Source organism: Homo sapiens, chromosome 1 (assembly GCF_000001405.40).
Source record: "Homo sapiens chromosome 1, GRCh38.p14 Primary Assembly".
Taxonomy (NCBI): Eukaryota; Metazoa; Chordata; class Mammalia; order Primates; family Hominidae; genus Homo; species Homo sapiens.
In genome coordinates, this window is record NC_000001.11 from 114,410,382 (window position 1) to 114,426,089 (window position 15,708).

Consider the following 15,708-nt stretch of genomic DNA (forward strand, 5'->3'; position numbering starts at 1 on the left):
CACTGCTTATACTCAGTTTATTAATAAACTAACAGATTATCCAATATCAAGCTGAGCCTTATTATTGCTTCCTTAGGGTCCACTGAGGGCCCACACAGTATAAAGTTTATTTAGATAAAACTGTATTATTCAGCAAACAACTAGGTGCTCAGAGCAAAACAAATCCTATATGTTCTATTATGAAAATAGCTGACATGCTCTGACACTTCTGCTGTTTCTCAAAATTGCTGCAGGACCTATTTATCAGTATTCTTGTCCCCAGTATCCCTCCATTTCAGTGTCCACAATCATTCACTTAAATAGAAATGTAATTATGTTAGTACCCAGCTCTGAAACTCTGAAAAATTCTTATAGCCCACAGAAAGCCCTTAGCTTGACACACAAGGCCCCTTACTACAAAAAAAAAAGGGCACAGTTAACAGTACATATGAGCCCTTCCCTTACTTAGAGGCAGTACGATAAAGCCAGAAGACCCATAACTATGATTCTGGGCTGGTTCTCAACCTGAACGTCAGTTTCCTATCCTTAAAACATGCCACCTATATTGCAGAACTCCGATGATTAAATGACAAAATGTGTAAGAAAGAGTAAAAAAAATTATTTAAGTATGAATATTACCTTAAATCTTATACTATTTCATAAAAGAAATGGTCATATTCTTCTTTTATTTATTTTTGAGACAGGGTCTGGCTCTGCTGTCCAGACTGAAGAGCAGTGGCATCATCTTGACTCACTGCAACCTCCACCTCCCAGGCTCAAGCCATGCCCTCCATTTCAGCCTCCTGAATAGCTAGGACTACAGGCATGCGCCACAACGCCTGGCTAATTTTTGTGTTTTTTTTTTATAGAGATGGGATTTTGCTACATTGCCCAGATTGGTCTCCAACTCCTGAGCTCAAGCAATCTGCACACCTTAGTCTCCCAAAGTACTGGGATTACAAACAAAACAAAACCCATGCCAGAGACATGAAGGGCTGAAGGTAGGAGTAGGCAGTAGGTTAGTTGGAGGGATAATCAAAGGACAATAGCAGTTGTGTTACCCTGTGGTCATAGCTGTTGGCCAAGGATGCACTTGCAAAGCTGTGACTACAGGTGAATCCCTAGCTGCAACTCAAGTCAACAGGAAGATTTGTTATGAGGGGGGAGTACCTAATATGGGCCAGAGATGAAAATGGGGATGCATCCCACCTAAAAACAGAAGGGGGAAGATGATTCAAAACTGACATGAAAATCCCATGTTACCTATTTCCACTCCTTTTTATACTCCTCACCTGCAATTTGTATCTTTTGCTAGAAAGATAACTCTAAGGGTAGAGGATGGACAGGTCAGGAAGAGGCAAACAGGAAATACATTAAAGGACATCCCTGATGTCATTATAACCTCCAACAGATAGGTGCTAACTGAAGCATTCACCTGTGGGTTTCACTAGACATGGATAGTCACCATAAATAAAGTTAGAAGTCTAACTGGAAAGACATTAATTCATTTATTCATTAAAGCAATGTTTTTTGAGCATCCCTGAATAAGTACATGGAAATATAATTATTATATAAATAATTTTCATGATTTAAAAGTAAAAACACAGTCCAATAGGAAAATGAGCAAAGATATTTCACAAAAGACAAAGATAATTTACAGAAGAAATAAAAATAATCAACGAACATAAGAAAACCAATTTCACCAATCAAAGAAATGAAAATAAAGTTAACAATAATGTCATTTTAATCCATCACTGGAAAAGATGGAAGAATGATTAATTTACCTAGTATTGGGAAGACAATGCAAAAATGGGCATTTTCAAATATATAAGCTGGCACAATATTTTTTGTAGAGCAATTTGCCAATACCTATGTGAAATTTAAATGTGTAATTACTTTTGGCCCAGTAATTACACTTCTACCAACTTCGCTTACAGAAATATGTGTTTAAAACTATACAGTCATTGTGCCTCAATGCAGCTTTTTACAAATGACATTAAGGTATAAATGATGTACAATAAACTAAATATATTCAAAGTGTAGTACCTGATGTGAAAGTTTAACACATTTTCACATAGTCTACAACTGGGAAACCCAAATCAAGAATAGTGAACAGATCATATCTATCACCCCCAAGATTCCTCATGCCCCATGGTAATCAATCCCTCTCTCAAACAACCTGTCCTCAACCAACCACTCATCTGCTTCCTTCAGCTTTAGTTTTTTTTTCCAGAGTTTTATATAATTTGAATTATATACTGTACGCTTTTTTCATCTATTTTTTTCACTTGGTAAAACTGAGATTTATCCTTGCTGTTGGATCCAGTTCATTCCTTTTCACTGTTAGTTACTATTCTATTATATGAACACACAATTTGTTTATCCATTTATTTGCAGGTGGATATTTGGGTTGTTTCCAGTTTTTGTCTTATTACAAACAAAGCTGCTATAAACATTTGAGTACGAATCTTTGTATAGAAATATTTCCTGTTTTCTTTTGGCAAATAAAAGCAGAATGGCTGAATCATTATGACAGATACACGTTTAACTTTTAAAGAAACCGCTGAACTTTTTTCAAAGTGATTGTACCATTTTACAATCCCAACAGTGTTTGAAGGTTCTAGTTCCTCCACATTCTCACCAATACTTGCTATGGTTAATGTTAAGTCTATTTAATTTTAGCCATCCTAATAAGTATGTCGTGGTACATCTCACTGTGGTTTTAACTTGCATTTTCCTAATAACTAATGATCTTAACATCTTTTCACAAATGCAGCTTTGTTTTTAATAGTAACATGTGAGAGATAAACCAAAAGTTCACCAACAGAGGGCTAAAAAAACATCCAATGAAATGGAATACCATATGGATTAAAACACAAGAAAGCTCTAAGAACTGACATGAAAAAGTCCAAAAGTAGCTGGGCGCAGTGGCTCACGCCTGTAATCCCAGCACTTTAGGAGGCCGAGGTGAGCAGATCACCTGAGGTTGGGAGTTGGAGACCAGCCTGACCAACATGAAGAAACCCCGTCTCTATTAAAAATACAAAATTAGCTGTGCATGGTGGTGCATGCCTGTAATCCCAGCTACTCGAGAGGTTGAGACAGGAGAATCATTTGAACCTGGGAGGCAGAGGTTAAGGTGAGTCAAGATCGTGCTATTGCACATCAGCCTGGGCAACAAGAATGAAACTCCATCTCAAAAAAAAAAAAAAAGAAAAGAAAAGAAAAAGACTTTTTCTGAAAAGAAAAAGTCCAAAAGCAAAACTGTAAAAAAAAAAAAAAAAAAAAAAAAGGTAAAACTTGCAACACAGTATTTATAGCACTAGGTGTGTACATGTGGTATAATCTCATTTTCTGTTACTTAAAAAAATTACAGGATGGCCAGGTTGGCTCATATCTGTAATCACAACACTTTCGGATACCAAGGTAAGAGGATCACTTGAGACTAGGAGTTCAAAACCAGTCTAGTCAACTATTAGTAGCAAGACCCCATCTCTACAAAAGAAAAATTTAAAAATTAGCCAGGCATGGTAGCATGTGCCCGTAGTCCCAGTTACTGGGGATACTGGGACAGAAGGATCCCTTGAGCACCACTGCACTCCAGCCTCGGCAAAAGAGTGAGACCCTGTCTCAAAACAAAACAAAATAAACCAAAATAAATCACAGGCACACACACACACACACACACACACACACACACACACACACACGTTTTTAAATTCGTGTTTGCATATTCCTAGGGAAAAATCTGAAAGGATGTACACCAATTGGTTATAGTGCTGGGATTTAGTCAGGTGAAAGAATGGGGTAGACAACTATTTTTGTTTTTTTCCTTTTTCTTTTTTAAAAGCTACAATGGTTTTATATGGCTCATAAAAGCCTTTAAAAAGTAGGCAAATCTGATAGGTCATGTACACTGATCCTACCCCACCAAAACCCTTCAAAAATGCTTTCTCACTGAGTTTAGGATAAAATCCAAAATCCTTTATGCAGCTTACAAAGGCCCTACCTGATCTAGTTTCCATTTTCCTCTACAGAACTAGGCCCTTCTCTCTTTCCTGTTCTTCACTGGCCTTTTTTCTGTTCTTCAAAAGTGCCCAGTTCCTTCAGACCTTGTGGGATTTGAAATTCTGCCCTTTTTCCTAATAAAATTTACTGATGACATCTCCCTACTAACTCTTACCCCGCTTCCAGGTTTCAAAGAGGCTTTAACAATCCACTAAGTTTTATTGGGTTCTCCTGGTATATACTCACCTTAGGTTGATGCCTTACAATTTCCCCTTTGAGTAATGCTATACAATTTATTATAGGTAGGGTTTTAAAAAATCTATAAATGTCTGCATTCTCCTGGCCTGTAAACTCTATGACAGCAGGTCTCTCTTATCCCTACTGTTCCTCAAGACAAGTACAAAGTACTCAACACACTTGGATGAATGCTTATAATTTTCCTATTAAGCATAATACAAAAGCGTAATAGTGGTCCTTCCTCCCAAAGCTTACTTTTTAATAATGAGGGCTGGTGAAAAAGAAAAGGAAGAGAAAAATAATCATAACAACTAACATTTATTAAATACTTATATGTCAGGCACCAAACTTAATCTTACCAACATATCCATGAGGTAGATTCTATTTTTTTTTTTTTTTTTTTTTTTGAGACAGGGTCTCACTCTGTTGCCCAGGCTGGAGTGCAGTGGCACGATCACGGCTCACTGCAACCTTGATCCCCTGGGCTAAAGGGATCCTCCTGCCTCAGCTTCCCAAGCAGCCAGGAATACAGGTCCATGCCAAGATGCCCGGCTCATTTTTAATTGTTTTTGTAGAGACTGGGTCTTGCTATGTTGCCCAAGCTAGTCTCGAACTCCTGGCCTCAAGTGCTCTTCCTATCTTGGCCTCCTCAAAGTGCTGGGACTACAGGCAGAGCCACTGCACCCAGGTTTAAGAGAGCTTAAAATAAAACAGTGACAAAGTCAGCATAAAAAAGAAAAATCACAAAATCTGACCTCCGATTTGAAATTATCATCTACAGTATACCTAACTGCTTTGAATCTCACACTCCTTTCATGCCCTTTGTTGCTTCAGCATACATAATTCCTATCTGGAATATCTGCCTTCTAACTAACCTTGACTAGCTAACACTTGCCTACTTATCTTTCAAGTCCAAATTTAAGATTATCTCATATAAAGTTTATTCTCTGACTTCCACAGGCAGATGTAGGATCTTCTGCCTCTATTCTTTCACTGTCATCTATACACATCCATTTGTACCAATAAGCTCACTGTTTTGACCCTGTTTAGAAAACTGTCACCCGGCCAGGTGCAGTGGCTCACGCCTGTAATCCCAGCACTTTGGGAGGCTGAGGTGGGCAGGTCACCTGTGGTCAGGAGTTCGAGACCAGCCTGGCCAACATGGTGAAACCCTGTCTCTACTAAAAATCCAAAAAATTAGCCGGGCGGGGTGGTGCACGCCCATAGTCCCAGCTACTCTGGAGGCTGAGGCATAAGAATTGCTTGAGCCCAGGAGGCAGAGGCTGCAATGAGCCAAGACTGCACCACTACACTCCAGCCTGAGCAACAAAGACTCCATCTAAAAAAAAAAAAAAAAAAAGCACAACAGCAATAAAAAAGAACAAAAGAAAACTGTCTCCCTATTATATAAGAAACTCCTTGAGGTCAAGGACCATTTCCGTTTGATCCTTCTATAATCAGTACTTAGGGTCTTAATACATGGTAAGTTCTCAGATATTTGTTAAAGAAAATATACAAGTGCATTAATAGTGATCCAAGTTTCCAGAAATGTTCTAGTGTTATGCAGTATTGAAGACTTGGCCTTGAACCTAATAAAAGGATTCCATATTTAGGTGCTGTTCTACTGATTATCAGGAAAATATTACATTTTACCAACAAACAGAAATGTTCTAAAACTGATTAATGAGATACATGTACTGTACCATAAGTGAAACACTAAATATACTACAAAACATTCCCTGTTTTCCATTTACTATCTCCTATTACCTTCTTGCATAAATAAAATGTAAATGCTAAAATTCTTCATTTTAATATATTTCTTCTAGTTACCTAACTATATCACCATTAATACATCTGACTTAGTATAATCAAAAGCTATACAAATAATTCCTCATCTATTCTATTTTGTATAACAACTCACTTCTGTATTACTCCAGTTGTGCCTTCTCACTCCCTCAAGCCATTGCATATACCATACTCTATCTTGACCAACAAATATATCTCATATCTACACACTAAAGTATAATTCAGTCCTTGAGGAAGTTTTTCTTGATTAGGCAAAAGAAAATTGAGACTTCACCTCTACATTTGAGTCTTAAACTTAGCTGTCTTGGCTATTTCACCAGCTTAAACTAATGCTAATGCTAGGTTTTCTCCATGTGAATTCTTAATCTAGCCAAATTCAGTAGAAAAAGAGTTAAAAATAATCCATAAATGTGCCTGAATATGCTTCCTGTAAACCTGCAGAACAGTTACACAATTAAACCTCTTTTCTTTATAAACAGCAATGCAACAACAGCCTGGTACACTACGTTCATACTTGTATGAACTTGTAAATGAAAGCTCACAGCAGCATTATTCCTGACAGCCAGAGAAGAAAAGCAAATGTTCAATGATGAACAAATGATATATGTATACAATGAAATATTATTCAGCCATAAAAAATGAAATCCTAATACATGCTAAAACATGGATAGACCTGGAAAACATTATGCTAAGTAAAAGAAGCCAGACATCAAAGGCCAAATATAATTCCATTCACATGTGGAATGTCCACAGAGACAAAGTAGATTAGTGGTTTCCAGGGGCTGGAAGAGAAGGATATGAGTGACTGCTAATGAGTACCATTTCTTTTGAGGTGATGAAAATATTCTTGAATTAGTGGTAATGGTTGTACAATCTTGTGAATGCATTAAAAGCCACTGAACTGTACATTTTTAGAGTGGATCTCATGGTATATGAATTGTATTTCAATAAAAAAGTAGATGATACTTGCCTCTCCCTTTCTAAGTTTCTTAAGAACTAGAACCAAGTCTTGTTTATCTTATCCTCAATGCTTGAGGACTTTAGCATACAGTAAGTGCTTAGTAAAAACTGAATGACATTGTTATACTGTACATACCTCTGGCTGCCCAAAGCTGTCAATACCATGTGTTTCCAGGCCTACAATCCCACACTGCCTCCCTGGTATTGTTACAGGTAGTGTGGAGAAAGAACTGGATTTATAATTAGTAGTCTGGACTTAAAACTCCAACTTTTCTTATTATTTATTTATTTATTTATTTTTCTTGAGATAGAGTTTCACTCTTGTTACCCAGGCTGGAGTGCAATGGCGCGATCTCGGCTCACTGGAACCTCCACCTCCCAGGTTCAAGCAATTCTCCTGCCTCAGCCTCCCAAATAGCTGGGATTACAGGCATGCACCACCATGCCCGGCTAATTTTGTATTTTTAGTAGATGGGGTTTCTCCATGTTGGTCAGGCTGGTCTCAAACTCCTGACCTCAGGTGATCTGCCTGCCTCAGCCTCCCAAAGTGCTGGGATTACAGGCGTGAGCCACTGCACCCAGCCTAAAATTCCAACTTTTCTATCTATCATGTGACTCTAGGAAAGTCACCAATGAAACTGCATCAGTTCGTTTTCACACTGCTATAAAGATACTACCTGAGACTGGGTAATTTATAAACAAAAGCGGTTTAAATTGACTCACAGTTCTGCATGGCTGGGGAGGCCCCAGGAAACCTACAATCATGGCAGAAGGCAAAGGGGAAGCAGGCACCTTCACAAGGCAGTAGGAGAGAGAGTGAGTGCAGAGGAAACTGCCACTTTAAAAACCATCAGATCTTGTGAGAACAGCATGAGGGAAACCACCGCCATGATCCAATCACTTCCTAACAGGTCCTTCCCTCGACCAGTAGGGATTACAATTCGAGGTGAGATTTGGGTGAGGACACAGAGCCAAACTGTATCACTGCCTTTGCAAAAATTCTATCAGTGAAAGAGTCGGGGAGGATCTGATCTAGTCAACCTCCCTCTTCTTTGCCTTTAACCTTCATGCTGATATTAATTATTCCTGGGCTTGAGACAAGCTGACTTTGGGAGACATTTAGTTTATGGTTTACATAATAGCCCTTCCCCAAAACTCAACTGCCTTTGTAAAGTTAAAAAGAGACCACCAGGCTAGGAGGAGGAAAGGAGCCTGAATTCTGCTAAGGTGTTGACATAAAGGACTGCCAGCCATTACTCTGGAGGTCATAATATAGACAACTTCCTTAATTACTCCTGCAGATAACATCACTATTGCTGAACTTAAGATTGGCCTTTTTAGATATCTTTTGAGGTTTCTCGCATGTCTGACACTGACAATGGCTCCACCTGGACCCAACAAGCCCTCCAACAAGCCCTCCTGTGGCCCCACCCAGAAGCGATTCAGCAATTAAGGGGGATTTTCCCACACCCCTATGACTGCATTCCCCAACCAATCAGCAGCAAGCACCCATTGCCTTACTGCCCCCACCCCTTCCTCCAAACTACCTTTGAAAAACCCCTAAGCTGCCAGGCGCAGTGGCTCACACCTGTAATCCTAGTACCTTGGGAGGCCAAGGCAGAGGTCAGGAGTTCAAGACCAGCCTGGTCAACATGATGAAACTCCATCTCTACTAAAACACAAAAATTAGCCAGGCCTGGGGGCGTGTGCTTCCAGCTACTTGGGAGGCTGAGGAAGGAGAACAGCTTGAGCCTCAGAGGCAGAGGCTGCAGTGAGTCGAGATTGCGCCACTGTACTCCAGCCTGGGCAACAGAGCTAGACACCATCTCAAAAAAAAAAAAAAAAAAAAAGAAAGAAAGAATGAAAAAGAAAAAGAAAAAGAAAAACTCCTAAACTACAAGCCTGCAAAGAGACTGATTTGAGTAATAACTCCACCTCCTGCGTGGCGTGAGTGGCCTCGCGTCATTAAACTCTTTACTGCAGTGCCATGGTCTCCGTGAATTGATTTTGTTTGTGTGGTGGGCAGATAACCCGTCAGGCGGTTATACGAACCTCTCTTACTCTTATCCATAAAACAGGGATATTACATATCAGGTGATTTTAAGCATTAAACTTATATATTGCCTGTGAAAGCGCTTCACAAACTATAAGCTGTTAACTTAGAAATGTTACTTTTTAATTTATATTTAAAAAGTTTCCATTCTGTATGGTCCAGTCCTCTCATCACCAATAAAACTACCATTCCCTCAGCCAAAAAAGACTTCTCCTAGTATTAGGGAAGCAATCAGGTTAAGAGAATTCACAATATGTTAGTGATTTCTGAACAATTTTGTTAACAGTGCATTGTATTCAAAGTTTTCGTTAAATGAGTAAATTACAGCTGCTCTTACAGGAGCAGGGGGATGGGTAATTATGTGAGATGAGGGATATGTTAATTTGTTTCACCATAGTAACCAGTTTACTATGTATATGTTTAACATCATGTTGTTACCTTAAATATACACACTTACTTTAAATAAAATTTTAAAAAGTTTGAAGCTATAGAAATATCTTTTAAAACTTTTACATAAGCCCATTAAAACCCACTAAAACAAAATATTAAACTGCAGCCACAGAAAGAATCAAGGGTGCTACTGTTACAACAGTTTCATTGCTCCTTGTTCCTATGGTGACCCCGGACTCCAAGATATGAAAGTAACGCATACAATGCATAAAACTAAATTCAGTATAACGCTGGCAGATTATATTTACGTTTTAAAAGAAAATGCTTTTAACTGAAACAAATTGGTGAAATTTCAGAAGGATCCAAAGGATACTTTTCTTCGGTTGAAAGGGGCAAAAGGCCTCACTCAAAGGTCCTTCACATTCCATCTACTCCTGTTCTCCATCATTTCCCCCTCTCAGTATAAGCCTCAAAGTGTCTACTATCTTGGCCTTCTAACCCCATCCTTTTCTCAGCCCAACTGACTACCCCTTTGGATCTAACAGAAGAACAACAAAGATCTAACCACATTTTGGTCCTGGGTCTTCTCTCTGGCTCCAAACTCATACCAGGAGTGCATCATCGGAACAACGTTTGCCTGTGGCAGGTGTAGAAAGGGAGTAACTAGCCTTTTAGCAAAAGTGATATTAATCCACCATTATTGTACTTCTGTTTAGATATTCCCATAATTTGCTATTCATACGACCTTCAATTCCCCAGAACTTTAAAATATTGAGGAATGCTGGTTTTAGCTAAATAACTTTTCAAGACTCAAATATTTATACTTAACTCTTTTTTGTTTAACTGGCAAATAACAATTGTGTGTACTTGTGGTATACAATGTAATGCTCTGATCTATGTTATAGAAAGACTGAATCAAGCTAATGAACATATCTAACTCCACTAACTCATCATTTTTTTGTGGTGAGAACATTAAAAATCCATTTTTGGAATTCTGAAATATATAATACACTATCAATCAACTGTTGTCACCATGCAATGCAAGAGATCACTAAAATTTATATCCAAAAGAACTGAAATTGTTACATCAGAGAAATTATCTGCACTCCCATGTTCATTTCAGCATTATCCACAATAGCCAAGATATGTAAGCAATCTAAATGTCCATCAATGGATGAATGGATTTTTTTTAATGTGGTAGACATATACAATGGAATATACTATACAGCCTCTAAAAAGAAGGAAATTCTGTCATCTTGCAACAACATGAATGGAACCAAAGGACATTATGCTATGTATAATCAGCCAGGCACCGAAAGACAAATGCTGACTAATCTCACTTACATGTGGAATCTAAAAATGTCCATCTCATAGAAACAGAGGATAGAAAGATGGTTAACTGGAGGCTAGAGGAGAGGGTAGGCGGGGAATGCGGAAAGAGAGGATGTTGATGAAAGTTTCACTTAGACTGGAAGGAGACTTTTAGTGATTTAGACTTTACTCTTCAGAAATTTCAAGGAAATGTTGATCCTGAATTAAAAAAAAAAAACTCTGAAATAAATACTCTAACTCTGTAATTAACATTAAGTTTAATGAAGCCTCATTCAACTCAAATACAAACCTGTATGGGTGGAATATCTGGCAGCGATGGAAGGTTTTCTGGATTGGTAACTGAGGGGATTAGCTCTATTGCTGTAACAGATGGGCTGGTGGGACCTCGGTTTGCATTTGCCATAGTTGCTGTAGTAGGGCTCGTTGGGTTGATTGTGGTGTTGTGTACCGATACTACGGGAAAGGGTCCAGCATGCCCTGGGTTTGAGTGCTAATAAGAAAGAAGACATTATCATTACTTGATCTGCCAGAATCGCTGAATATAAACTATACCTTTATAATTTTTAGTTTAGGAAGGAAACAGAAGAAACAAAGAAGTGGGCCCTTTCAAACTTATTCAGGAGAAGAACAGTTCAAACTCAGCCTTTTCATTTTTCTATTCATTTTTGTATAGTATCTAGGGAAAGGCAGACTTGCCAATAATTTCCCAACACATCAGCCTGGTGATATGATCTTATTTCAGAAGAAGGAAGTATGTAATAGAGGATCTGTAAACCTCCAAATTTTCAAACACCGGGGTAAGAGAACTACCATTCGGTCATTATTCCTCTTCGACCTTTAGTCATTTTTCCAATAAAAATGATATATAATGCAGCTTGAAGTGGCAGAAAGAACAATGAATTTACAGAAAAGAAAAATGGCAGCAAGTCCTGACTCTAATACTGTGTGACCTTAGACAAATCACATAATCTCAGTCATTTAGAAATGTGGATAACAATACCTCACTTGTTTCATTGTGAGGGCTGTTATGAGGATCATTTAAGACAATATAGAAGAAAATCTTAAGAAAACGAATTCTACACATATAAATAAATCATTTGAAATATTTAAAAACTAAAAAGGCTTAATAACATCCAGTGATTTCTGTAGAGGTATACCCAAAGTCTAAGGAAAATGTTCTGAGATGATTCATTAGTCTGACTGTGTAGCTTCTGCGCTCTGACAAGGTGTACTTGGCCCCTAGAAATACTTGAAGGCCTTCCATGAACTAAGGGGTACATGATTATGTGAAAAGTGTGAAGGAAATAAATGTTCAGACCATCAATCTTTTGTATGTGCTCTTTAAAAAGAAAAAAAAAATCTGATTTGCCTGAGAATGTGCCATGCTCTGCTGGATCTCCTTTTCCACCACTTTCGCAACTGCCCTTCCTCCATCCTTGACAAAAGAACACTACACCTTTGACCATTCCTAAATCTTATTCTAGGCACACTGCACCAGGAAGGAAAAAAAAAAAAACCTGTAGAAATAATCAAAGGTACAATTGGAAATAACGATGTTGGGTGTCTGACTCCAAAACCTGGGTAACAAACCTTCAAATGGGTTCGAATATTTGATGATTAACAAAAATGAAGTTGTCACTGACAAAAAGTTTTTAAATAGTTTTGATAGATCGTTTTCTCAGCCTATAACCTAGAAAAAATTCAAAGAATTGAGGGATATTACTATAATAAAATTCTTTTAATTCCCAAATACATAATTTTGTAAATTATGTATTTTTGTAATTTGTAAATTTTGTAAACGTTTCCTAAGCATTACATAAAAACAAATCCCAAAAAACTAGTAATAAAAACCAATGTTGAATTCTGACTTATTTTAAAAATAAGTAACAGCATACAAACATACATAACCAGAAGCAGGAGGTAAAAAGTCTCCATCTAGCTCAAAGAAATGTATATCCAAAAGAGTTTTGTATCTTCTAATAGTCTTAAACCATGTAAACACACCCATTTTGTTTCAACAATTGTGGAGATATAACGATAATTTGGTCCACAGAAAAAGTTTCAAATCTTAATAATAACCCTATTGTCACTGGAAATTTAACAATTTATTATAAAAAAATTTTTTTCCTGCAGAAATTTACAATAGGCTAATCTATATCTATCAAATAAAGCTATCTTACAGTAAGATAAAACTCTGTTGAAGAAGTAGAAGTGTAATTCAAGTCCAAGGAGAGCTTGCTAGGGTATCTGGAATTCCAGCGGATTCATTTAAAATAATGCAAAGGTTTTTTTAACTTTATAGCATCAATATTTACAATATGCTATAAAGTACAGCTTTTGAAACTATTTAAACTTAAACCTATAATGGAAATTTTAAATGAAAGCCTTCAAATGTGAGCGAGTATATATTTTTTCTTTCTTTTTTTTTTGTTAAATAGAAACGGGGTCTTGCTATGTTGCCCAGGCTGGTCACAAACTCCTGGGCTCAAGCAATCCTCCTGCCTCGGCCTCCCAAAATGCTGGGATTACAGGCGTGAGCCACCACTCCCAGCCAAGAAGCGCATTATTTTAAAAAGCTCTTTCTGGGCGTACATGGACCAAAAAGTTGAAGGACCACTGTTCTAGGACAGTGTTTCTCCAACTTTAGTACGCAGATTGACCTGAGAGACTTAATACAAATTTAAATATTACTGAGTACTCCCCACCTAGAAATTCTGATTCAGTGGTTATGGCTAGGAATCCATTCTGACAAGGTTGCCCACTCCACCAAAGCTGACTGGTGATTCTGATGGTCTTTAAAACATGTTTTGAGAAACATCATTCTAAGAGTTAAAAAATAAACTCTATTATAACTAGAAATCCTATGAAAAAGTGGCCTCACTGTATACTCATATCTCCCATATAAACATAACCAGGCAAAGATTATAAAACATGTCTCTAAACACACTTATTAAAGCGTATCTACATCCTAAAAGGAAGAATATTTGAGTAGAGAAAAGGTAAAAAAAAATAATAATAATAATACATATAGTTAGCTCTGTTACTCTCAAAGCCCTTTTTATATATTAGGATCAAAAAGCCACATTAAAAGAGCAGAGCAGCATTTTCAGGAAACTAATGTTCTTGCTATTTTATCATTGCTTTTTGTGATTGTGGGTAAAATCACCAGCTCATTAGATTTTTTTCACTTCTGCAAATTGAATGGGTTAACTACATCAGGGTTTCTTAACCCACAGTATATGATGCACTTAAAGCATTTTTTAAAAGCTCTTAAAATTAAATACAAAATCTCATGTGTATGTTTATTTTTCTGGGACAAGAGGATATACAGCATTAATCAAATTCTCAAACACATCAATGACCTGCTCCCAAAAAGTGATTAAGAAAATGACGTCTTTTAATTTTAAAATTGTAGGATTCTTACAAATGTAACTCTAGGCATACTTGTCTTTGGAGGTGTGGCTGCATCATGGAATATTGAGGGCCGCTGTGCCTGGGTATCCCTGGTATTCTGGCAGCATTCTGAGCCAGTCTCATCTGATGGGCTTGAAAAGCTCCACAGTTCATGTTGCCTCTTTGCATTGTTTGCACACTGATCAATCGAGGAGGCTACAAAAAGTAGAAATTGCAATTTATGTAATAATTTTAAAATAAATTTATCTCAATTATAAAATGTAATCATAAAAATAATTCAGTCAAGATAAAAGGGTATAAAGTAAAAAGTATAAATAATTCTTATCGCTAGCCCCAATCCCCAGAGGACTGGTAATGACTAGTTTGTATATCACTCCCTAATTTCCCTTGTCTCTCTCTCTCTCTCTTACCTGTTCCCCCTCTTTTTCTCTATATGTGTGTTTAAAGCGTATCAACATTAACGTATCCCATCCTGGAGTAATAGTTTTGATTGGGATGGCAGTGGAGAGAGCAAAAGACACACAGGTATAGGAAAGATCTGAACAAATGCCTAAGGAACATATCAGATCCTAGGCAGAAACAGTCTGGTCCTTTGGTCCACAAAATTATACGTGGAAAACAAAAAAGATTTGATGTGAAAGGATGAGAACTTACATCCTTTCAGAGTATTAGTGAATTAATTTTGTTTCCCAAGACAATTTACTTACTGCCTTTCTTCACAGCTCCCTTACATCACCATCATAACCATAGCAAATATTTAAACTCTGACTTTTGAACTCTGCTCAGTCTTGCTAGTAACTTTGAAATGTGTAACTTAATTATATAGGAAAAAGTGTAGTGTTGAGGGCTTCATAATTTCTATCAATAATGTAGTAACACGATACTTACCTGTTGTTGTAACATCTGAGGGGCTGCTTGTCTAGGATGCTGTTGTGTTGTTGTTGTTGTAGTTGGTACAGGTGCTGGTGGTTGCTGCATCCTCATCTGTTGCAACTGCTGATGTTTCTGTGCATATACTTGTTGTTGCATGTGCTGGAGTCGAAGCTGTGCTAAGTTAATCTGTCCAGGGGTTTTACTAATGTGGTTTGTCCCTGGAGGAACTTGCCCAACTACAACATTAGGAGTATAACCAGGAGCTGGTTTACTCTCTATTACTAGATTACCTGAAAAATTTAAAAAATGAGAATTTGCATATAATCAACTAAATCATCTACTTTGTTGAGTAATCACCATGTTTTCCTCTTTCCTCTGACAACTATCAGCACCTCAAAGCTCCAACAGTACAGCAGGGAATGGAGTCAGTTTAAAGATGATGATGATGATCAGAAACTTAATACATTCCAAAGCTGAATAAATGACGTTTGGTTATTCAGAAAAATATACTCTCTGTCCTTATTCTTTTTTACTTAGACATACAGAAAATTAAGACAGTAAAAGAGATTATCTATTAGAAGAGGCCTATCTAATCAATCTAAATCAATTCTCCCATGACAAGACTTACTCAAGGATACTCAAGATTGCCAATACTG

At 37.4% G+C, this 15,708-nt stretch overlaps 1 protein-coding gene across 7 annotated transcripts in view; it reads right to left on the minus strand.

The window, feature by feature from the left end:
• The window catches only part of TRIM33 (tripartite motif containing 33), a 118,414-nt gene that overhangs the window by 17,592 nt on the left and 85,114 nt on the right, over positions 1-15,708 (minus strand). For 2 of the 7 annotated variants that reach the window (XM_047422512.1, XM_011541568.4), the window contains exons 9-12: positions 15,068-15,342; positions 14,210-14,374; positions 11,055-11,255; positions 10,002-10,070 (exon numbers count right to left, since the gene is read on the minus strand). In XM_047422512.1, the coding sequence (XP_047278468.1) occupies positions 10,002-10,070; positions 11,055-11,255; positions 14,210-14,374; positions 15,068-15,342 (710 nt within the window). Of the gene's footprint in view, positions 1-9,998; positions 10,071-11,054; positions 11,256-14,189; positions 14,375-15,067; positions 15,343-15,708 lie in introns of those variants that run through there. The other 5 variants (XM_005270937.5, XM_005270936.5, NM_033020.3 and 2 more) reach the window with 3 other exon arrangements.